A 26,758-nucleotide genomic window follows, 5' to 3' on the forward strand; every position below is an offset into this window, starting at 1 on the left:
TAGTCAGGCTACACATTTTCCAAACTTTTATGCTTACTTTCCTTATAAAACTGAATGCCTTTGACAGCACCCAAGTCACCTCTTGAATGCTTTGCTGCTTAGAAATTTCTTCCTCCAGATACTCTAAATCATCTCTCTCAAGTTCCAAGTCCCACAATCTGTAGGGCACGGGCAAAATGCTGCCAGTCTCTTTGCTAAAACATAACAAGAGTCACCTTTACTCCAGCTCCCAAGTTCCTCATCTCCATATGAGACAGCCTCAGCCTGGACCTTATTGTCCATATCCCTATCAGCATTTTGGGCAAAGCCATTCAACATGTCTCTAGGAAATTCGAAACTTTCCCACATTTTCCTGTCTTCTTCTTAGCCCTGCAAACTGTTCCAACCTCTGCCTGTTACCCAGTTCCAAAGTTGCTTCCATATTTTTGGGTATCTTTTCAGCAAGACCCCACTCTACTGATACCAATTTACCGTATTATTCTGTTTTCACGCTGCTGATAAAGACATATCCAAGACTGAGAAGAAAAAGGAGGTTTAATTCGACTTACAGTTCCACATGGCTGGGTGGCCTCAGAATCATGATAGGAGGGAAAAGGCACTTCTTACATGGCTGAGGCAAGAGAAAATGAGGAAGAAGCAAAAGCGGAAACCCCTAGTAGACCCATCAGATCTCATGAGACTTATTCACTATCATGAAAATAGCATGGGAAAGACCAGCCCCCATGATTGAATTACCTCCCCCTGGATCCCTCTCACAGCATGTGGGAATTCTGGGAGATACAATTCAAGTTTAGGTTTGGGGGAGACACAGCCAAACCATATCAGGCTTCTTCAAATAGGGCTGGTGCTGTATACATCATCTGTGAGATAAATACAATGTACCCTGTGTTAGAGCTCAAAATGTATAAATATTCCTGAATTTATATCTGGCTTTGTTATTTGTTTACATGCATTAAAACACTTTCCTTTTGGCTCACTCCGCTTCGTTTGTTTGTGAGTTTGATTTGGGACTCTTCTTTTCAGACATATTTGGTTGTGATATAATATGGAGACTAGAGTTATAAAGAAATATACCTCTCAATGCAATGTGGGTAAAATTTGAATTATTTTCCATATCCTAGTGATATATATACATATATAGCGAGAGAGAGAGAGAAAGATCTAGATGCAGATGCAGACTTATAAAATTTCAACGGTGTAACATTCATTAGAAAGATGAGTGGCAAAAAGAATTTATTAAAATACATCTACCTGCAAATCTATGTTTCTTTCTATTCATGTATCAAAGAGTTATTTAAAAGTACCTTTTTTATATGAAACCCTTTGGAGGCAGTAGTATAGTTTCTTACATCTTTTTTCTTTAGGCATTATAGTAACTACTATAGACTTTATTCAGCCTCAATGTTCATATTGCATTGCGTGGTATAGCAAATAGCTACTAGTAGTAAATGGCTTTGTTACTAAATGCCATTGGTATGAAGTCGTGAATTGGTCCTAAATTTTCTATAAAAGTTCATTAATGTAATAAGACATATACTCCACTGATCTTTAAGAGCAGCTATAAATTGCCAACATTATTGGAATTCATCTTGTGGTTAATAAATAAAAGATAACTAATAAAAGGTAATAAAAACATCATCATGTTCCCATCACATAGTTTTATTTTGAAGGCCTTTTTATCATTCATTTCTATAAAAGGATCACTTAAGTTCAGTTTCCTCATCTATAATATGACAAAAATAATAACTTCTCCAAATGTGTGGTTTAACAAATGAACCAACAAAAACCAAGAGAGCGTGTCAAGCCATTTTGTCATCCAAAGAGAAGTATATGAATGTAAGAATATTACTATTAAAAAGAAGAAAGCTTAGAAAAGATATCTTTATTTTTTTCTTAACACAAAGGAAAATGTTCTCTAATTATCCTCCATTTCTGGGGCCTTATGTTTATGCTTATTTGTTCTTGTGACAGTGTTTTATAAAGAGTATTTACATTTATAAAAAAAAACTGAGCACAAAGATGCACTTTGTGCCAAAAATATAATGGATAATTTACCCCAAGATTTAACTTACCAAAACTTAGCAGAAAAAAAAATAGGAAACCTGAAAAATCCCATAAATAGTGAAATATTAGAAAACATATCAAGGTAAGCCATTATATTAACATACTCAAAAGAAAAAGAAGCATGATCATTTCAAAATAACAGGAAACCTATAAGTGTGCAGTAAATATTCTTTGTAAATGGAGGCTGGGCATGGTGACTCACTTTGAATGGATAGAATATAGACAAGTGGTGCTTTGTGGCTGCTAAGGGTAAGTCGTAAAATGAATAGCTTTACCTCTGGCTCTCTTGCTCTCTTGGTTGCATACAATGGGACAAACCAGCTGACATGTTGTAAGGACATTCAAGCAACCAGGAGAAAATTACCTTTGTGGATAGGAATTGAGGCTCTCCACCAACAAGGAACACCAACTTGCCAGCCACGTGAGTGAGCCACGTTGAAAGCAAATCCTCTAGTCCAATTAAGCCTGCAGATGACAACAGCTCCAGCCAGTTTCTTGACTTCATAAGAGACTCTGAGCTAAAACTGCATAGCTAATCCACTATAGAGTTTCTGACCTGCGCAATATGTGAGAGAGAATACATGTTTACTGTTGTTTTAAATCATTAAATTCTGGAATAATCTGTGATGCAGCTGTAGATATCTAAGAAAAATACCAAGACATGTTAATCCCTAGTGATTAAGACTGTGATAGCTGTCGATTACTAAATAAATAGAACTATGGAAAAGAATAGACAATACAGAAACAAAGCCATGCATCGATAAAATCTTAATATAAGTCAGAATACCACTGTATTAGGCCATTCTTGCATTGCTATAAAGAAATACCTGAGACTGGGTAATTTATAAAGAAAAGAGGTTTAACTGGCTCACAGTTATGCCAGCTTTAAAAGAAGCATGGTGCTGGCATCTTCTGGGCTTCCAGGGAGGCCTCAGGAAACTTATAATCATGGCAGAAGGTAAAAGGGGAGCAGGCATGTCACATGGCCTGAGTGGAGCAAGGCTGGGGTTGTAGGGGAGGTGTCACATACTTTTAAACAGTCAGATCTCACAAGATCTCACTATCATGAAGACAGCACCAAAACATGAGGGGTCCTCCCCTGTGATCCAAACATCTCCCACCAGGCTCTGCCTCCAGCACTGGGGTTACAATTCAACACGAGATTTGGGCAGGGACAAATATCTAGTCTATATCAACCACTATTGTAGAACAATAATAAGAGTATTAGGAAAATTATGATGAAAATATAGAGAAAATTACTGTATCACACAATGCTTAAAAGTAATATCTATGTGGCTTAAAGATTTAAAGGTAAAAAATGAAGCTTTAAACCTTTAGAATAAAGCAAGAAAATATCTTTATGACTTTGGGATAAAGAAGGAATTCTTAAGCAAGATGATATTTCTAAAAGTGTTATTTAATTGAGCTTCATCTGAAAATATTTCAGAACAATTTCTTTACAAATTCTTCAAAGCTCTTGGTAAGCAATGAAATGTATCACCTATACTTTGAAAAACAACTTAGACCTAAGTAAATGAAAATTTTTAAAGTAAATAAATTAATATTGTTGCCCCAAATCCTAAGCCCATCCTTTTTAAATATTTTTCTTTTTGTGCCCTGTGGTACATTTGTGCCATCCTTAGTTGCTTAGAAGCCTTTTTATTTAAAAGTAACAATAGAGAAATAGAGAGAATAAGAGCAAAAACTTTAACGTAAGCATAACGTAAGCATAAAAGGACCAGATTAAGTCCCTTCAGCTTTTTCAGTTCTTTATCTAATCCTCTTTCCTCCTCCATCCCCACCAACAACAACCTCAATCACATCTAAACTCCTGAGTACACACATCATCTCTGCCATTTTTTATGTCTATATGTGACTCAAATAGCTCTTTTTTGCTTTTCTCAGCCTGGCTGAATCCACTTGGAATTTTCAAAAGTGATTTATCAAAGACTATTAGGAGAAATAAGTAGATAAGTACAATGCAAAAGCATAATAATAAATATTTGCCAAATGTCGATTTTTCATTCTAACATGATAAAATTGTACATTCAGGTGTAAGTCTTCAGGCTTACTCACCGAGCTCTTTCCCCTCAATTTCTAATTTGAATTTTCACAGTTTAGAGCAGAAACATTCGAGCGATTTTTTGATATGTTACATTATATGAAAACTCAGTACATATACACACACACACATACATGCAGGTATATGGACGTGTATATGACTAAAACAGATTATTCACAAAATAATGTTGTGCCATTACCATCAGTGATGCATTTCTTTAATGTTAGTTATTACTTACTAAATGTATTTTATGGTGCAATTATAGATTACAAAGATCAGCAATTTGTAACTAACCTGCACAATGTGCACATGTACCCTAAAACTTAAAGTATTAAAAAAAAAAAAAAAGAATAAGATACACTATAAAGGAAAATACCAGAATGCATCACAGGGAGTAAGAGGAAATATAGCTTGTTTATTTCAGCTGGACTTTATGCATGAATGTATGTAAGAATGTATAAAAGTGCTATGTATTCACACTACAGTGTGATGTAAACTATGTGAATTACTGTCGGTCATTGTCAGAAGAGTTTGTAAGTCACTGGTTAAATTTTCTTCTGAAGAAAGCCCTTTTTCTTCTTTGAATCAGTTTTTGGCAATTCTTTATAGTGCTACCCTTTGTCCCTCTTTGGGCAAATTTTACACTGCCTAGCTTAAGTAAATTGGCTGATTCATGGTTGTTTACAGCCCTAGCATCCACAGGCCCAGTCTGAACAGTGTGTAGGTCCACTCACTTTGCCCATCACCGCATTACATGGTTGTACTCCACTTATGACAGCAGGGAAGTGGAGGCTGTGGCCAGGAATCTCCTACCGTGGGAATAGCATGGCCTATATCCAAGGCTGCTCCCGCTGGGAAAACAGTGAAAGCACCTGAGGCTCAATGGCACAGGCAGGATCGAGTAGTATGGGGTGACCTACGATTTAGGGAGGACACTGTGCACCCCGGGCCACTCACACATGCTTTCATCCTTTCATGGTATTTGAATCTTGTATGAGGTCAAGGTACCCTAACTTCTTCCCTAGAAAGAGAGGTCGATTTCAACCCTTAAAGATAGCAGTCACTTGCATTCTCCTAACAAATCTTAGAAAGTGTTTGGGAAAAAAAAACAAAATAAAAAAAACTATAATTTTCATGCTGCAGCTAATCCTAGGTTCACAATTGACATTCCTCATCTGTCACCTCCATCTTCCATTCCAGATTTTTTGAGTACTCTACTGGCAGTTCTGGTCCCCCGGGTCTCACTTTTGGGGAAATTAGGGCATTAATACTCCAAACCTTTTTTCTCAGGAAATTTGAGCCCTTAGTTGTCTTTTTATTTATGGGCTGTGGTTTCTGACTGGCTCATTTATAGTTACCACCTGGTACAAGAGCACTAAGAGTTGCCCCAGTGCCTAATCTAGGTCCTAGACACACTCCTCCGCGCATCCATCAGGACAGCCATAGATCCTCAGGGTTATCTATTGCCACCTGCAACATAGTAACTCTTTTCTTTGCCTGCAGATCCACTGGCATGAAAAACACAAAGTAGCTCACTGGTAGTTGCAATTTCGAGCTCAACAGAAAGTCTTTGCCATGTCCCACAGAGCAAACAACCCCTCAAGTAAGGGCCTGTTCAACTTAACTCTGCTAGTTAAGTCACCTAAAATCATAGCTGTTTGTTAATCCTTTAACAGTAATTAAATGGATCAGAAGGTGTGATTGGAAGAGGTGAGAAGAGAGACAGAGGAGGAGAGAAGGAGAATAATAGGAGTTGGAAAGAGAAATAGGCATTGACAGAAGTGGGAAGGGGCCTTGTTCTCCTTTCAAACGCATTTCACAGTCTGGTGCCTCTCACTGTCCTAATCTAGTTATGAAGTATAGATTCAGATTTGTGATTGTCCTAAGTTGTAGTAGAAAGACTTCCTAAGGAAAGGCTGAAAGATTTTGGCATACAAATTTTCTTTCATATCTACAGGTTACTGATGTCATTAAATGATGATTGGACGAATAGTATGTAGAGACTGAGAAGCACTGGAAAGGCAACACCTCTACTCCCAAGACATACAATTGATGTGAAAACGTTTCCCAGGTTTTTTATCTTAAGCACATTCTAAGGTACAGAACAAAACCCCTTCAAGGTTTAGTCCCACACTGCCAAATCCATGGACCTAGCTTCCTTCGTCTTTTCTTTCTCCTAATCCTACCCCTAAGGATCACACCAAACCACTCTCTCTCTAGGAACTCCTCTCAATATATACTCAATAAAACCCCAGAGTCAGTTTCTTTCCACCTCAGTAGGGCTCAATGGTGTATTAGACTAATCTCAAAAAAAAAATAAAAGAGACTTGGACTTAAGAATTTAAAATAACAATAATATAAACTCCTTTACCCTTTCTCTACTGGAAACTAAATAACCAAAATATAAAAAACTAATTTCTCCCTGGAAATGAGGGAAAATTTAGTTTTCAAGAATTTTAGTTTCAAGTTTTCAAGATTAAATGGATATTGTAGTTTAATTAAGGAATGATGTACACATTCCCATATACACAAATCCTTATGTTCATCAAATCCTTTAGGCCTTTTGAAATATTATTCCTCAGTATCTTATGACTCTCCTAGATAAACCATTTCTTCCATTCATCTCTATACAATACCAAGTATTATCTTCCTTACAATCTTTATGAGTGTCTGTAATTTTATTCATTCATTTATTCATGTATTTGTTTCTAATCTTTTTCAAAAAGAAAAGAAACTCATCAAGGGAAGGTATTCTATTGGTTTGGTAAACAAGTACATGAATTCCTAATGCCTAGATTAATGTTTGGCACACAGAATAACTCAAGAAATATTTACTACATGAATCATAATTTTTATATTTTTGTTGAGGCGTAAGAACAAAGTGTATTGAAGATAGAAGACATCTACAGGAACTGGTTTCCCTTTTTATTAGGTTCTATCCAGATATCTTAAGATATGTTTCTACTGGGAGGATTCATGTTAGTCAAAAGTATATGTGAATGCATATACATGTATCATGAGTTATGTTAAAACGTACATTTCACATTTTATTATTTGACCAATTATAGAAGAAATATTGTAAATATGAAAAAATAGTGGGTAATAAAAATAGTTTATACTAAAGTTTGAAATCAATTGGGATCTGGGATAAGGCATTTTATACCCACCCATCCCATAAGCCATTGTATTTTGCTTTTATGAGATTTTTGATTTATTACTGAAGCACTGGATGATTAATTCAGAAAAATGATGGATGATAAGAAGAAATTATTTGAAATTATAAAATTGCAGCAGATCATTCACAGTGGATAATCTACATGTAGATAATTGAGAGTTGGCTGAAGATAGATGTTTCTAATTTTGATGGTGTCTTTCAGAAAATAACACTCCTGATATTCGTCAGGTTGAAGAACCACCATTTTAATATAATTTCTGTATGCTATCATATTTTTCCAGTCTATTTCACAGGAGAAGTGTCCATTGTTCTAAAGATATATTGTTTGAATGGCTTGATGTTAACCTTCAAATATTATGAAGACCACTGCCTAAGGGAGATTGAAATCAAGGCATTTTAATTACTCTTACTTGGTACATAAGCTAAGTGAGGAGCTTTTAGTTTGATAAGCAAAGACAAAAAAACACTGGCCCTTTTTTCCTACCATACATTTTCTCCTTTTGATCTCTGTGCTCCTCACTCCAGTTAAAATATCCTGGATAAAATATGGGTGTGTGTGTGTGTGTGTGTGTGTGTGTGTGTATGTAAAATTGTCTAAAACATATATACAATATATACTTCATGTATAAAATGTACATAATTTTTTAAATTCTTGCAACAAAGTACCTATATTGCATGCCCAATAATGATTCTGAACCATGAATAGCTCTTAGAACACCAAACTGTATACCTACATATGATATCACTCATCTTTATCTTAGCATGGTAGAAAAATATATTCTGAATAAGCATTTATAATATTAATTCATTTGTTGTCAGGAAGAATTATTAATACCTGGGCTTCATAATTTCTATTGTTTTCTTTTATACATTAAATTAATCATTAATTTAAGCCTTGGGATCACCTACGTCGATCTTACTGTGTTTCATGCCACTTTCAAAATAAAGTATTTTAACATTCAGAAAGTACAAGCTTTTAGCAAGATCAAGCATACTATTCTTTTTTTATTCAGTAGAAAATTGATATGCAATGCTCTATTTTTTTGTTCCATGGAAATGTTTTAAAGAGGAGAAATAATATGAATGTATGATGGTGTACAATGAAACACTTGTTGCTCATAAATATCTGATAATCAATATTTTTATTTATATTCCTTACGATTTTTTCATATAAGCTTCTAGAGACTATTTTTTGTTGACCCATCATTTCCTATCAGAAAGCTCTGGCTAGCTTTCAGCATGTTTCATTTTGAGAATGTGTGTCTTAGATACATAGGTTATATTGCCAACACTGAATTTTGTACATTCAGAACATCAGGGACCCTCTGTGACATCTAATCTTTAGATATATAGGACCTTTCTCATTGCTCCATCAGCCACTAAATTCATAGTATTGCACTCCTATCATGATTCACGATCATGAAATAAAATTTGCTTTAACACTAAGCTTTATGTATGTACAGATACAAATTTGTTTCTGTTTAGAAAACAAGCATCATGCTGACATGTCATGATGACATTTTAATAGATAAAATGGTAGGACAGTTATAAACTATTAATAGTTTCAAGACAGCTGAAAAACAATATACTACACCATGTAATTGTGTTCAATAAAAAGGACCAAAATGAGGAAATATATTTTATATGTTCATGTTTAGTGATATATAAATATCAAGAAAAAACTTGTGTTAGATGTCTAAATCCTACCAACTCTTTTTAACCAAGCCATTGGATGGCAGATAAAAATGAAGAGACACTAGACTTGTCCTTTATTTTTGAAAATAATAATGCAGCCATTTTTTATTTCTAATTATAAGACAACCAAAGGTGATTATTATTTTAAAAAACTCATGGTTACTGTATAAAGCGTGTTTCTTATAGAAAAGCTAAGAAAACAAGATTTAGCTATCCAAAAATTATGCCAGTATTTCCATGTTTCTATCATTTAAATAACATGTGAAGTAATAAAATACACATGTTTAGAAATATGGCAGAAAGAGGTGGTGGTCACCAAATATTTTATGTGTTTCCTATATTCCCAATTCTCCCTTGATGTCAAGTCGGAACCATGTGACTAGTTTTGGTGGAAAGACCATTAGAAGTCACATGTGCCATTTCTGAGCCAGACAATTTAACAGCCAGCTGTCCATTCCTCTGTTCCACTCCAACAATGACCCTGATAGCTGTAAGTTCTATCTAGCTGGTGTCATTACAAGATGGAGGAAGGAAGCCTGAAGTATACTGGGCTTTATGTGAACTGGTAAGAAAAGCAGAACAACCTTTTTAGGTGTATTAAAATACCAAAATTATAGTATTCCAACTCGTAGTGGATAGATAATTTGTGGTATAAATTAATATTAATAATGTTTGATAGGGATTTGTCTTAAGCAATAGCATGTTGCATTTAAGAGTTTTTTAGACTCTATGTTTACAATATTTTGAGCATTCAGTGGCAATATATTTGAGATGTCATAAGTAGTATTTTTTTAAAAATTAATTTTCTTCTAAATATGAGCTTAGCTCAAAGAGGAATAAATAGCAAGTTTTATCTCTGACAGTTTTTAGCAAGAAGAAATAATGATAGAAATTGTCATTTACAAAAGCCCCTAATGTGCCAAGTTCTGTGTTAAAAATCATCATTTAAATTGTGGATTACTCATTTAATTCTCACTTATTCCTATCATACAGAAACTATTATTGCCCCTGTTTTGGATGTGAGGAATTATAGCCTGAAAAGGGTTAAGTAAATTGTCCAAGGCTACATTGGATAGCAACTGGCAAAGTGAGGATTCAAATATGGGAATTGAATCCATTGTCAGCACTTTAAACAAATAACTACATTTGACATTGGAATCAATAAAGCTATACTTTATATGGACACTGGCAATTAATTATCCTGTCTCCTGTTTATTCGTTGCCTCTTTTCACCTGGAACCTTTCTATCAACCTTAAAGCACACTCTCCAATATTGGAAACGTGCAAAAGCAATGAAAGGATACAATAACAACAAGATTTTTCTCACTCAACTTCTTGCCCCTCCCCTTTATAGCCACACATCTGGAAAGAGCCTCAGTCTTTCTCTCTCCACTTTTTAATGTCTGACTCAATTCTTGCCTTTATATAATGTGGCCTTTGTCCTTATTATTTAACTAATATTTTCCTGCTATGTTCAACAATAATCATATCTCTCCTTATTTCTCAGCAACACTTGTTGTGTAGATAACACCCTCCTCCCTGAAAACCTCTTCCCTTTATTGATAGCCCATGTACCTAGTTTTTCTCTCCCATGTCCTCTCTCTTCAGGATATATAGGTTAAACCTGTTCTATTTGTCATTCCGTGCTGGATTTCCTGCAAATAACTCAAGCTTAAACCTTTTTTCTCACCATTCGCCCTCTACCTAGACAAACTTATATCTACAGCTTCAGCTGCCACCACACATTTCTCTCTTTAGCCACATTCTACTCTTAAGTTCCTACTTCACGTCTCTCTTTTATTTCTAAAGGGGATCTCTGACTCATCATATTCCAAATAGAACTCATCATCATCTGCCCTTACAAATGGCTATCACCTTTGATCCTGTTGAATGTACCTGAAGCCCAGCAGTCATTTTTTTTACTTCTTTATTAATGAATTAAGTCAATTAATAGTGAATTCTACTTCTTATTCCCCGACCCCACAGTCAAATGACCATCATTTTTCATATTACCTCAAAATGTATTTTGAATCTGTCTGCTCTCCATTAATCTAGTTGAAGATGACAATGACGATAATAATGATGATGATGACAATGATGAGGATGATGATAATTGCTAACATTTATTGACTTATTGACTACTTAGCATATGTCAGGTGCTGTAATGCTCTTATTCTAATAGACCACTTGCCGTAATCCTAATATAAACTCTTGTCATTCCTCAATTTGTCCTCTACACTAAAGCCAGAATGATACAGTGGTGAGAAAAATTGGTATCAAACTTCTTCCCAAACCCGTTTGATGAGTTCCACATCCTATTAGAATAAATACAAAGTCTATTAAAAGGCTGGCAAGGCTTGTAAGATTTCACCCCTGCCTACTCACTTGAGCCTTAACGCATACTGTCCCCCCACACCTCTCTCTTTGCAATACTTATTATCCCTTTTCTTCTTTTAATTTCCTGAATGTGTCATTTGCCCTGTGTTTATTGTATTTTTCTTTCTAGAAGGTAGAATGACTATTCCCACTGGTTCAGTTAACTACTCATCACCTTTGAAATCCCTCTAGTTAGTCACAGAGTCCTCTGTCTACGTTCTACTCCCGCACCCCTATGGCTTGATCTGCTTCTACTGGTTTCTTTTTCTCTACACTAGTAACCTCACTGATTTGAGGAGATGATGTCATTAAATTTTGTCTTCTCTCACTACACTGTAAGAACCAAGAGATCCAGTAAATTTTCTTCTTTTTGCTTACCTTTCTCACAGATATCAGGATTCAATACACATCTGATAAATGAATAAAGAAAGAAAAAGGAAGAAGTAAAATATACTATTCTGCAAGCCAGCTTGGACCCTTACTTTTGCTTACCATTCCCTCTACACACAGGTCCTGTGAGATATCAAGGCATCAGGTCCTGTAGATTGTATGTCTTATTATCTCTTAGATCTGCTCCATTCCATTGTCTTACATTCAAATCCCATCAAATTTATCCAAGTGTCTGCAATAACTAGTATGGCTGCCTTGGAGGTCTTTCTTTGTTTTATCATTGCTATCACAGCTGGAGTGATTTTCCTAAATGCAGTCCAGATTTAAAATTGATAAGTGGATTCTATTTCAGTTACCTATTGCTGTGAAGCAGATCTCTCTAAAGCTTAGTGACTTAGGACAAAGCTTTATTATTTCTCATTGTCCCAAGGGTTGACAAAGCTCTTCTGATCAGTTCTTGCTTGGGGTCCTTTACAGGGTTGCAGTTAGATGTTGACCAGGATCATAGTCATCTGAAGGCTTCAGGAAGCTGTACAACCCAAAATGGCTCACACATGACTCACTGCTGTGGCTGGGAGCTTAGCTTAAGATGTTGACTGAATCCCCTATTGTGGCCTCTCTACGTGACTCGGGCTTCTCATACCAGAGCTTCTAGGTTCTAAGAAGAAGCATACCAACAACTACCTCAAGAGACTGAGATAGAAGCCACAAAATGTATTGACAATGCAGCCTTAAAAGGAACATATTATAACTTTCACTATATTTTCTTTGGTTAAAAGTGAACCACTGGATTAGCTCATATTTAATAGAAAGAAACTCTAGAAGAATATTAATACTGAGAGTATGGTTCTTTTGGGGGCCATCTTTGGAGACTAATTGCTACCATCTGTGTTACTTCACGTAACATACATCAATGGTATTTCCTAATCCTGCCTTTGCCTATACCTGTAGTCTTACCTTTGACCCCTATTCCAACCCCATTTATTTATACATACACTTGGCTGCATGCATTTAGTTTCCTGAGTATAGTAATAATGTAGTTTTAGGCCACCATAAAACTTTCTTATATGCTCTTCTACAAGATGTTTTGTATTTGTTTTTTATTTGCTAGGTTTTTCTAACTTTATTCATTCTTTACAATATAAATGTAGAAGCTGTCATTCTTTATGGGAAGTCTCTCTAACAGTCTTCCAGCTGTTTTCTATTCCTGTTGCAACCTGTGAATACTTGTATCATTGGACACTGTAATCATTTTAAATTACTTGAGGGCAGCGACAAACTATTAGCCAATTTTATATGAAGAAGTCATGGCAGGTAACAGGGCAAGAAATAAATCCTTGCTGAATAACTGGATAAGAAGAAGCACTTATTTTGCTCTTAGACTAGACACATTTTTAGAGCTGCTTCTAGTAGGTTTAATTTCCAGTCTTTTGCTGTATATGTATCCCTTCATTTTATGAGCCTATGTCCTTTCTGAATGGTTCAACAATAAGCTGTGAATTACTCATAAACTACAAGGGAAGCCTGATAACTATCTATAACACACTGCCTTGATTGCCTGACATGAAGGCTGTTCTGTATAATTTCAATAAAGATATTTAAAACTGAAGACTGTGATTCTTCACACAGTTTTGTGAAACTGCATGTCATTACATGCAAAATGGAAGTTTTGCATAATTTTCAAAAATTCTTAAAGGAAATCTATTTTCAGTTCATGTGATATAATAGTTTTCATCAAATTAATATTGAATGTCTAAAAGTATAACATTTGTATTAGTCTGTTCTCATGCTGTTATTAAGAACTGCCTGAGACTGAGTAATTTATAAAGGAAAAGGTTTAATTGACTCACAGTTCTGCAGGCTGGGAAGGCCTCAGGAAACTTACAATCATGGCAGAAGGGGAAGCAAACACATCCTTCATCACGTGATGGCAGGAAGGAGAAGTGCCAAGCAAAGGGGGAAAAGCCCATCAGATCTCATGAGAACTCATTCACTACCATGAGAAAAGCATGGAGGTAACCGCCCTCACGATTCAGTGACCTCCCATCAGGTCCCTCCCACGACATGTGGAGATTATGGGAACTACAATTCAAGATGAGATTTGGGTGGGGACACAGCCAAACCATTTCAACATTTCTCTGTGGTCTGATAAAATGTGTGTGTGTGTGTGTGTGTGTGTGTGTGTGTGTGTGCGCGTGTGCGTGCGCATGTGTATCACTTCTTCCATAAACCTATAGCCACATTTCCTACCATAAAAGTGACAGAAAAAAATATGCAATATGTATTCAGCAAAAATGAAAATGATCATTTCCTATTTGATTTTTATTGTAATATAGCAATATTTAAAATAATATGTGTTTATATATAAAGTCTCAAATATTTTTGTTGTTTTTAAAATTCAATAGCTTATGAGTTTTTAGTGTAATTTCACTTATACTAAAAGAAGTAGAATTGAATAGTGAATTTGAAAATAAATAATATTATTCTGAGAAACAGAAGTGCAGATCTGTAAAAGAAATTTGTTACGCAAAGGAATGCCGACTGCAATCCTCATCCTACTATCTATACCTGATACATTAATAAATAACAATTGGACTTAGTGCATTTCTCCAGCCACGACATTGATTTTAAAAAGTGCTCTTAGGTAGCATATGTCAATTGCTTTAATAACTATTGTTGAAGTGATCTGTGCTGATTTCTTTAGAATAAAATTAATCTTTAATTTTTTACCCACTTGAGAGAAAAATTAACTTTAAATGTTTAAATGTCACATATTTTGTTATATAATCTCTTAAAAATGTTTCAATTTAATTGGTCTTATATGGAAAAACAAAGATGCTTGAAAGGCATCAGATTAAGGTCACAAGTCAGTGTTCAAGCAAAATAGAGCTGGGCTACCCAATGATTTCCTGTTATTAAGCCGATAAATCAGGGAGATGTTGATAGATGTGATCGCTGGGACAGCATGTCAGTCTCATGAAAAAAGTGCTGAACAGACACAGGTAATCCATGCTGTCGGTGTCTTGAAAATAAAAATTTTAAAAAGGTCAAAGAATCGAGAAGACTATCAGTGGTGTTTACGCATCCAAAAATGCAATTTTTTTATGATTTAACTTAAAAGACGGCTCCATAAGGCTTCATAATGAACAAAGCCGAGGAACTGTCAAAATGAATGCAATTTGTTCTAAAGGAGTACACATCAACACTCCACATCTATCCAGACTGACTCCCACGGGCATTTACAGTTCATTCCAGGCTTCCAGTCTTTTTGAGTTGTTGTTTTCTTCTATATGTAATTCAACTTGTTGTCAGCTCCTCATATTCTATTTCTGCCCTGTATCTTCAGGCCTTGTTCAAGTTCTGCCTCTTTTGAGTACCTGAGTGCTCCAACTCAACAAGCCCCTCTTCCTTGAGCCAATAGAACAATGTCTATTTAGTACGATTCATTTTGATGTGTAATGGATTCACACCTACATGATTATTTAACAAATTATTTTTGCTTTTGACAAGTATGTTCTGAATACCTTCCTCTCAGACTCTTGTAATAAATAAATAGAATAGAATTTCTGTCTGTAAAAGATTTACATTCTAGTGAATGATTTATAAGTTTTGGAGGTCAACACTTCCTTTGAGAGTCTGACTAGAACAACAGCCACTTTCACCAGAAAAAATATATTCACGTAAAACTTACTATAGAAAATCTGGTGAGGCGATCATATAAGGGGATAGAGGTGATGCCTTTCAGGTAACATTTGTAATAGTTTTGTAAAAATAATAACCTCTTTTTCAATTAAAGAATGTTGAATGATATCTAGGGAGATACAACAAGCAACACAGGTAAAAGGAAGAAATGTAAAAAAGAATGAGACATTGAAGAAATGTTAAATTTTTTCAGGTGGCAAGAGAGAGCTATGAATGTAGGTTGCAGATGCAAGTTAGAACAAAGTGCAGATGGTCATATTTACTTCCTAAAATGTCTAGCCTGTTTTTGGAGTAGATGTCTTCCTAAGAAGATTATTATTTTTCCAGACCCTATGGATTTTAACCTTGTTTTTCTGTATCTAACTTGAAGCATCTCATGTGTAGTGTTTTGCAAGTATTAGATGTTTAATTGATAATTGACAAAGAATGGAAAAAAAGAAAGGAAGAAGGTTATAGAGTAAGTTCCTCTTCAGAGCTCTGAAAAGGATAAACAAAGACATAATTGAATTATAAATACTATACCAGGTCGATTACATGTAAGTGTATGTTATCTTAATAGGGTGATTAATTTCATGTCATTTTACAGGAAGTGCTTTAAGTGAAAATATTTTTCTTGTAACAGCTGTTTAGTTTTATTAATGCCACTAGAGAGGAAATTATAAATATTGTAACTATAGAGTTCTAGATTTATCTTAGTTAAATGATACATTATTATATACCAGTATTTAGGTTATAATTTCCATGAGGACATAGACTATGTCTGTTTTATCCACTTAGCTGCTAGCTAACTTTCTACACATTTTAAATAATAGAATAAGACAGCATAGATCATTTATTTCACACATATTTATTAAGAGATTACTAAGTGCCAGGCCCCGTTCTAAGTGGTAGAAAAGCAGTAATAAACAACAGCAACAAAAGTGCCTCTTCTCAAGGAGCATATATTCAGGAAGAGGAACACGACAATAAGTAAACACACAAATATATAGTATGTGAGACAGTGACTGTGCCATAAAAACTCAGTATGTGTCAACTGGACATTGTCACAAAAATACTATGTATCAATCACCAAAATTTCAGCTGTGCCCTGCAGCAATAAACCTCTATTTCACTCGAGTGTCTGGAATCCGCTGGAGATCAGCTGAAGTTTGAATTAGGTGGCTCCACAGGTATCAGCTGGGCTCACTCTTGCATCTGCAGATTCGAAACTGACTAAACTGAGCTGGACTCCACCCAGATGGTTAGGCTGGACTTCCTCTGCTCCATGCTGCTCTCGTCTTCCTCTTAGAATCCACAGGCTATGGGCATGTGCTTCTCATGGCAACGTCAGAAACGCAAGATAACAAGCCCAACCAAACGGTGCTTTGAACGCCCTACTTCCATCGTCAGCCTAAACAAGGAAAAGGCTGAGGAATGGGGAGGACAGTTTGCCCACCAAGATAGGAAGATGGGGAGGAAATATTTTTAAACACTAGCTAGTTGACCATGTAATATAGCACGGGGGAAAAAAAGGGGGTAATATGAGATGATAGTTCAAATAGGGTAGGCAGGACCAGGTTCACTCATAAGATGGTATTTGACCACGGGAAAAAATAAAATAGAGAGTAAGGCATGGAAATGTCTGTGGTAAACAGGTTTAAAGCAGAGAGAAAAGTAATGTCAAAGGCTCTAGAACATGCTTGGACTGTTCAGGGACTGCTGGAAAAAAAAGTAGAACCAGATTTGAATGAGGATGAAGTGGAAGGAGAGACAATGAGGCCAAGGAGAGACACTGACCAGGTGATGTGCAGCCATGGTGAGGATGTTGGATTTTATTCTGAGCGAGATGGGAAGCCAGAAAATATTTTGACAGAAAAACTTACATTATCTGACTTTCACTTTAAAAGGATCACTCTGCCAATGAGGTTTGGAACCTTTTGTATTAAATATATTTCCTCATTAAAAAAAATTTCAACTAGATAGTAAATGTGTATGGGTGGGGGAGGGGGAAATGAACTGTATGTTACTTATACCTGGACCCACTAGTATTCGTAAAATACCTCTTTAATAACATGCAACTAGTTCAAACATTTTTGCTGATTTTATTCTAAGAAGACGTGAAGTAACCTAAATGAGAAAATTCAAGAGATGTTTCATTATAATGTTAGACGTGAGATTCCCTCAGAGCATCACCATTAAGTCGAGTGCTAGAATTCTATTAGTCCCCTCACGGGGTAAAGAAAGAGTATTCCCACATGATGCTTTTGTCAACTTTGCCTTGGCCAGGCACCGTGGCTCATGCCTGTAATCCCAACACTTTGAGAGGCTGAGGTGGGTAGATCACTTGAGGTCAGGAGTTCAAGACCAGCCTGGCCAACATGGTGTAACCCCATCCCTACTAAAAATACAAAAATTAGCCAGGTGTGCTGGTGGTCGCCTGTAATCCAAGCTACTTGGGAGGCCGAGGCAGGAGAATCACTTAAACCCCGGAGGTGGAGGTTTCAGTGAACTGAGATGATGCCACTGCACTCCAGCCTGGGCGACAGAGCAAGACTGCATCTCAAACAAACAAAAAAACCCAAAGAAACAAAACTTTGCTTTATCCCAGACCCTTCCTTTTTTTATTAGTCTTCGTCTTTAACAGCTATTCCTCAATGTTGCTCTTGCCCTTTTTTCTTAAGTCTAGACTGGAGACTTTACCATTGAAGTAATTGCTTGTAATATTGTTGTGAATGATTCAGCTGTACTCAAGCTGTTTCTCTCTTCCCTTTTTGGATTTTTATGGATCTGTCCCTGGCAGCTGAGGGGTAGAATGCTTACCGTATAGATCCATCCACCTTCCTCTCTGATGATGTCGGAAACAACACCTGTCTGTTGAAACAGTTCTCTTTTTATTGAAAAAAATAATGACATCTCCACCTACTTGCTGGACAGATTATTGCTTTGAGCTGCTGCTTATTTGAAGAAATATCTTATGGATAAAATTTAGTCACTCCTCTGTTCCTGCGCTGTACCACTGTTCAATCCAGGGTGATTGGGAGAGGTGGCGGCCTTTTCTGCCACTATTGGCATGAATCTACAAGCCCAGGATTTAAGGGTCTATTTATAGCTGGACAGAGGGCTAACAGTCAGGCTGAGCTACTTTAAAATAAACTTCGGAAATGACCAGATGTATCAAACAGCCACGTTCCCATGGTATCTTTACCAAACGAGATTTGATCACACCTAATTTATATTCTTGGGAAAAAATGGAAAAAAAATGATTTTATAGAACATGTCTGGAGGCAGCAAACTCCAAGTGACATCTATCAGAGGTAATGCAGATGAATGGGGCCGAGTGGCATTGTTTGGTAGCCCAGATGATACCATCAAAAGAACGTGGACTTTACTGTCAGGCAGTACCAGGTTCATATTCTGGCTTATTGGACATATGACCTATAACCTTAGTCAAACTGTGTAGCCTCAGCTGTAAAATGCAAATGATCCTGTCTACTCCGTGGAGGTGTCTATGAAAATAAACCACAGGAATCATACACAGCTTCTTTTCCAGACTTGTAAAATTAGTTCTCAGTAAAGGTGAATTCTTCTGCTGCTGATCCTATATCATAACTATGAACCAACACCTCTATGTTTGTAAAAAGATGATGGGTAGGATTCTTTCATATTCGGTTAGACCAGGAGTTGAAAGATTAAAAAACATATTTTTCTCGCCAATCTGTCACTTAGGAATGATAATAAGCATTGTCCATTCCAAATTATAAATCAGATGATTATAAATATTTTTATGATTAAACAGCACCCTACTCCATGTGTAGCTTATACTCAAAGCATAAGAATATGACAGTTGCAATGCTATAGAAATAGCAAACAAGTTTTACAACAAAATACAGTATTTAAATGTTGTATATGAAACCATAGGGAATGATCAAATTAATATTTCTGTCATTCAAAAATATGAAAGCCATTATACCTCTAGTTTCTCTGACAAGTTAACTCAAAACTATCTTAATAACATGTCCATTTTTAAAAAAATTTTAAAAGGTAAGATCTAACTGCTCTTAATTTTTATTTTAAAATTGACACCTTTTGCTGCTGCTCAAATTTATCCACAGTCTTCAAACTTCCAGACTCTCATTCTCTTCCTTCCTCGTCATTGCTTACATTCAGTTTAATCAAATACCCCTCTTCCTGCTGTTCCTTATGTCCTACTACTAAAAAAAAATCTCCACAGGCTTTAAAAACCTTTTTTCTCTAAATTCTTCCATTTCTTTCTACATTTGTTGCAGAAACCAATGAGGGAATTTATAAATACATAGTGCAATACATTTAGCAATTTTCCTCTCACAATGAATGTCATTTCTCCATTCAAAAAACTTCTCAGCCTTTCCCCAAGTTAATTCCTCCAATCAGATAAGTAGCCGCTACTTCTTTATTATTATTATTATTATTATTATACTTTAAGTTTTAGGGTACATGTGCACAATGTGCAGGTTAGTTACATATGTATACATGTGCCATGCTGGTGTGCTGCACCCATTAACTCATCATTTAACATTAGGTATATCTCCTAATGCTATCCCTCCCCCCTCCCCCCCACCCCACAACAGTCCCCAGAGTGTGATGTTCCCCTTCCTGTGTCCATGTGTTCTTATTGTTCAATTCCCACCTATGAGTGAGAATATGCGGTGTTTGCTTTTTTGTTCTTGCGATAGTTTACTGAGAATGATGATTTCCAATTTCATCCATGTCCCTACAAAGGACATGAACTCATCATTTTTTATGGCTGCATAGTATTCCATGGTGTATATGTGCCACATTTTCTTAATCCAGTCTATCATTGTTGGACATTTGGGTTGGTTCCAAGTCTTTTGGGAAAACTGGCTAGCCATACGTAGAAAGCTGAAACTGGATCGCTTCCTTACACCTTACACAAAAATTAATTCAAGCAGCTGCTACTTCTAAATGGACTAGCAATTTATAGTAAATGATCCCTTAACAATTGTATAGATCCAGATATTAGTTGATTAAATGTGCATTAAACAGTTGCATACTAACCAACATTTATCCAACATCACACACTTTTTTCTCTGTTTTTTTTTTTTTTTTTTTGAGAGACATGCTCACTCTCTCAGCTCGGCTAGAGTGCAGTGGCATAATTACTGCAGCTTTGAATTTCTGGGCTCAAGCAATCCTCCCACCTTAACCTCCCAAGTAGCTGGGACTACAGGCCTGTCACCTCATCTGGCTAATTTATTTTCTGTAGAGTTGGGGTCTCCCTATGTTGCCCAAGTTGGCTTCCTGGCCTCAAGGGATCCTTCTGCTTTGGCCTCCCAAAATCCTGGGTTTACAGGTGTGAACCATCACATCCAGCCTAACTTCACACACTGTTAACTAGAAAGTTCCTTTAAAACAGAGATATAGTAACTTCAATATCATGGTGTGTTTGTAGCATGGGAAAATGGCCTCTGCTGCATTAAGATGGCCTGGTTCTCACCTGCCTTTGTAGACATCAGGCAATCCTTTCACATATCTTAACAAACTCTTTTTAAGGATCACAATATAGCATTTCCCTTAGAAATACCACATGCAAAAGCAAAGTAGGTTTGTTAATGGTATTCATGAAGCTTGATTTTAGTAGATGCTGGGAATTCTATAACGTTACAAAATGGTTCATAAAATATTGCCATCTGCTATACCAAGTAACAGTTCATTTTTACTAGTTTTAAAATGGCTGTGCTTTTATGTGTTTGGATTTTTGCCTAAACTTCAAGTTCCCTCTGAAAGTTGCTTCTGACCTCTGCCTGAGGAAATATGAAAATCTGCCTTTCCTATCTTGTTTTATAAGCTTCAGTGACAGAATGTAAATGGACTAAATACATTCTGCAAAATTTTACCATAAAAATCTTTCACATGCTGCCTGCATGGCTGGCTCTGTTTATAATATTTCCAGCTTATACTGAAGTAACCACTTGTAAAAGAAATTGCCCCAAGTACTAGTGCTGAAAGCAAACATTTATAGAGTAGTGTGCAGTCAGCAGAAGATAAAGGCTTTTATTACAACTGAGGAAAAATTTTGCAAAATAATTGATCCTGACAGAAAATACAGGATGGAATATAAGCTTCAGATTTGAAAATTATCTCATCCAACTACTTGCTGAGTGATGAAACTGAGACCCAGAGGAATTCAGTGACTTGCCCAGGGTCTCACCTTTAGGAACAGACAGTGTCCAACTTTGGATAAAATGTCTTTGGTGGAATTCGGGTTTTAGAAGAGTTTGCATTAAGCAACCATACGGGCTCTGCTGTTTTCAATTGTTTAGACATTGGCTGAAACCAGCAAATGAGTGAATGAAGTTGGTAATTAGTGATTTGATGATATTTACTGGACAGAGCCAAAATAAAGAACAACAAAATACAAAGTAGCTTTTTTAAATAGAAAAAGGAGGAAGAAGGAGGATGAGGAGGAGCTGAAAAAGAGGAAAAGAGGGGAAAGTGAAGGAGGAGGCAATGAGGTATCAGCACCATAAGTTATTTATTCCTACAGATTGTGTCCATCATCATTCGATATACTTGCCAATTCTTTTTGTTTCTATTCCTGAATATCTAATTAAATGATTACACATTCACTTTTCTTCTTCACTCTCCTAGAATAGTGATATCCTCCTCATATAAATTCTGAGAATACTCCTCTTTAAGAAAATGTGCTTTGTGCCTGTAATGAATTTTGAAAACTGGCCCTGCTGATGGCCTCTGGTTGAATGAGCTCTGGGTGTCCTTGGGTTCACTGCTTTTCTGTAATTTTCTCATATAGACGTCTAAGGAGAACACTGTCATATATTTACCTAAAATGCAGGCTTCCTTTGTCATGGAAGAGGTTATCTTAGTCTATTGGGGTTGCTCTAACAAGAATACCACAAACTGAGAGGTTTATAAACAACAGAAACTTTTTTCTTACAGATCTAGAGGCTGAGAAGTCCAAGATCAAGGCAGTGATAGATTCAGTGTCTGGTGAGGGCCTGTGTACTTGTTCATAAACAGTGCCTTCCAGCTGGGTCTTCCCACAGTAGAAGAGGTGATTCGGCTCTTGGGTGTCTCTTTTATAAAGGCATGCATCCCAATATCTTTCTAAAGGTACCACCTCCCAATACCAAGACCATGAAGGTTAGAATTTGGGCATACATATTTTGGGTGGACCCAAACATTCAGATTATAGCAAAGATAATATTTTCACCTGATAGAAATATCAATATCCTACTGAAACATTCTCAATAAGAACAGATGTTAAAGCAGATTTATTGGTTATCACAAGAGTCTTACAACTTTTCAATTTTTGATTCAGGGGATATGGCAACACATTATTGAAAATATAAATTTTATAGAGATTGTATGGAGTTATTAAATATCTCAAATAGCCCCAGCCAATTCATTTTGTTCAGTGCTGTGTGCCTAGATGAATCATCTTCACTTTTGACTAGCCATACCCAGTGATAGGAGATATGAGCAAGGAAATGCGTCTCAATGACCTGAAAGTTTTCACTTTGTGATGTCGCGGTTTTTGAAATTGATGTTGGCTCAGAGGCATCTTTTTTAAATGTGAACACTCAAGCTGGGTCTCAAACATTAGTATGTATTAGTTTAAGTAGACTGCTTTCTTCATTGGACATAAATGATATCATCTGTATTGAGTAAATGGAAATTGTAATTGCGGGAGGGAAAAAGAAAGTAATGAAAAACTAGGGAAAGAAACCATTTTGAAATTGAATTTCCTCCAGGGATATAGAAGCCAGAGGAGGCATCACTGTGTTGGAAGGTTAGGGTAGCAAGAAGACACTGAGCAACTGGAACATGAGAAGATAATGTGCATAGTTATAGCACATTCATTGTATAGACATCTGTGTCTTGATATAATTTACTGCATGGTCAATGCATATCTCAATAAATGAATGAGGACAATATGAATGAATCAAAGCTTATACCACTGTAGCTATGCGGAAGCAATATCTCTTAAAGTTTGCATCAGCATCATCTGGGAGCTGGTTAGAAATGCAAATTCTTGGACCCTACCCCAGTCCTTTTAAACCAGGAACTCTGTGAGTGAATCCCAGAAATCTGTGCTTTAATACACCCTATAGATGATTCTGATGTGGGTTTAGGTTTGAGAACCACTGAGGAAGAGTAAAAGTTAAGAGCGTCACTCCACACAGAAGTGTGACTGACTGGAGGGTTCAGGGGAATGAGGTGATTAGGTGGCCTTGTTCAAAGACCCTGAAGATCTCCCCAAAAGTGGATTTTTCTTCATCCAGGCAGAATACAAACAGTTACTTGTTCTCACCAAATATATTTTCACTTGCCCTGTCTGTGTGACTGTCAGGATGCCTCAGGATGTCCAAGAAAGACAGCATCAGGTCCTTGCATTCAATAAGTCAGAATCCCCAACCAGAGTTGGCCTCATACATGAAAAGAAAACACCTGATGTGCCAAATCTTGAATAGGAGCTGCCAGAAAACCCCTGCCAAACCACCCACTTCATTTCCCAGCATGTGACCCTAACTAATAGCCAACATAGAATCACGCTCTGCAGGTATGCCTTTATTTCATGTCATCTTTTCAAACACAAATAAGTGTTTTGCCTCATGGAACAATTAAATATTTCCATTTCAGAAAAACTGACACAATATGATTGATATCAACAATTATTAGAATCTTACAATGGTCCTCTGAGGACTTATTCTTCCATGAATATTCAAGTTTATTACAGCTACCCAGAACAGCCACCATGACGATGTGTGTTAGGTACATTAATTTATGCAAAAACCATTAGTGTCTTTTTCTAAGCCCTTACTTTTGCAACAAGGCAGAGTTTCAATTTACTATAGAAGGAAAATTTGTCCCCTACAAGGATACTATAATTGCCCATTTTTAATGCAATTTTCTTTTACTGATCACAGTCGTAGATTTTCCAAAAGGTTAGGTAACTGACTAATTTAATGCCAAGTATCTTATCTCTAGAGACGTAGGTTAAGAAATGTCACTCTGATTGTCTCCGTGGCAAGCCATGTCATGTATGGACAACTCCATCTCACTGTCTAATTTGACCCAATTTTCCATTTTGCTTAATAAGCACATTACAGTGAATCACTGATCTATTATCCAAGGAATTATGAAGCTTATGGGTTATCTTCCATTGCACCTGCTTTAATCAGCGTAGTGCCTTGGGTATTATGGTCACTTTATCCTTTAATAAAAGAATTGTTAATATCTTCATCTGCAATTTCAAGCAATTTGCAAAATTGGGTTAGCTGGCTTTTATATGGGACTTATTACAAACTCAGTTACTTAATGTGATGTTTTCAGCAATAATTTCTGTGTTTCCAACATCCTCAAATTAATATTTTATTTAAACAAATTGTCAGTATTTAAAGTGGTAAAATTCATTTAGGGAGATAAATGGAAATGTGGGATTTTGTTCTAAAGTTACTTTCATGCTATATCTGATACTATTGTATTGGCTGTTTATTTTTTTAATTTACAAAACTAAACTAATAGGAACTATAGTGCTTATAACCCTGTATAGTTAAGGATATTTAAAATTGTTTTTGGAGATATTTTTTCTAAGAGATATGATACCACTATTTTATTGTTGTATAGAATAACTCTTATTACATTTGTAATAATTCTATTACATGTTGTTTTCTGTATGTAACATGTTAACTGTCATTATTTTTTTTTTCAATTTCAACTTTTATTTTAAGTTCATGGGTTCCTGTGCAGGTTTGTTACCTTGGTATATTGTGTGATGCTGAGGTTTGGGGTGTGATTGATTCCATCACCCAGGTACTGAGCATAGTACCCAATTAACTATGATTATTAATAAGGATCCATTATACCATCTCCTTACAAGTCGCATATGTAACCAATATATAAATACTGAATATGAAACTACCATATGCAGAATCCATATTATCTCTACCAGAATGTTAAAGTCTACATCACACATTTGAAGTTACTCTAATTCATTCAGGAAAAGAACGCTTGTGTCACAGAGGTTTGTTATACAGAATATTTCACCACCCAGGTAGTAAGCTTAGTGCTCATGAGTTATTTTTCCTGATCCTCCCCCTCCTCCCATCCTCCACCCTCTGATAGGCCCCAGTGTGTGCTATTTCCCTATGTGTCCATGAGTTCTCATCCTTTAGCTCCCAGTTATAACTGAGAACATGCGGTATGTGGTTTTCTGTTCCTGTGTTAGTTTACTAAGAATAATGGCCTCCAGACTCATCCATGTCCCTGCAAAGGACATGATGTCATTCTTTTTTATAGCTACATAGTATTCAATGGTGTATATGTACAACATTTTCTTTATCCGGTCTATCACTGATGGTCATTTAGGTTGATTACACGTCTTTGCTATTGTGAAAAGTGTGGCAAAGAACGTACACATGCATGTGTCTTTATAACAGAATGATTTACATTCTTTTGGGTATATACCCAGTAATAGGATTGCTGTGTCGAATGATATTTCTGTCTTAAGGTCTTTGAGGAATCACCATTCTGCTTACCTATGTGATAAACCTGCACTTGTACGTCTGACATTAAAATAAAAGTTTGCAAAAACAGGTACTACTTTTAAAATAATGATCCACTGGCCTTTAAGTCTTGGTGCCATGTTCTAAATATGTGCTCTGAATATTGGAGAGGGAAAAATGGTTGGTAGGGCTACATCTTCTTCTTAATGTAAAATATATGTGCTTTTAAAATAAGCTTAAATTTTGATTTAAAAAATAAGAAAAAAACACTTAAGTATCTGTTGTGTGTCAGCAACTGTGCTCAGGGGCAGGAATGCTCATCCCTTAAACTCAGTGAGTCCACAGTCAAGTGGGGAGTCGGCTATGCAGCACGGAAAGCTCAACAGAATGCAGGAATTAACAACTTAAAGCCAAATACTCCTCTCTCCCCAGGAGAAGTTGAAATTAGTGAATTTTTATTTTCTGATCATTATAGGTTAAATTTTCTAAAAGCTTGAACGTAATTACCTCCTTTGTAATAGCTGCAGTGCCAAGGAACTGGATAATTTGTGTTAGGTTATTCAATCGAGATTTCTGCTGCTTTATTATACCCAAAATTTTAGTGTTTCTTGCTTATTATTTCAAGTGGTAGCTAGTTCTCTGTTTGGCCTATATCTACAGGCCAGCAAGAAAACATTTTATCTAATTTAGTGAAAATTTTTAAAAAAGAATAAAAGGAGAATTTTCTACATAAAAAAGTTACTAATATTGATTATAAAACCCTAAAAATCCTATTAACTAGGGACATTT

At 36.0% G+C, this 26,758-nt stretch overlaps 1 protein-coding gene across 29 annotated transcripts in view, besides 1 other annotated feature; it reads left to right on the forward strand.

The window, feature by feature from the left end:
• ROBO2 (roundabout guidance receptor 2) overlaps positions 1-26,758 on the forward strand; it is a 1,743,290-nt gene that overhangs the window by 551,473 nt on the left and 1,165,059 nt on the right. The window lies entirely within an intron of this gene.
• Positions 11,495-12,694: an enhancer, noted in NCBI's record as "CDK7 strongly-dependent group 2 enhancer chr3:76518793-76519992 (GRCh37/hg19 assembly coordinates)". NCBI's record gives its function as "activates an origin of replication core promoter dependent on BRD2, BRD4, P300/CBP, MED14 and CDK7 cofactors, with strong dependence on CDK7, by STARR-seq in HCT116 cells {active_cell/tissue: HCT116}" and the evidence as "EXISTENCE:reporter gene assay evidence [ECO:0000049][PMID:35650434]".

Source organism: Homo sapiens, chromosome 3 (genome assembly GCF_000001405.40).
Source record: "Homo sapiens chromosome 3, GRCh38.p14 Primary Assembly".
NCBI classification, from domain to species: Eukaryota; Metazoa; Chordata; class Mammalia; order Primates; family Hominidae; genus Homo; species Homo sapiens.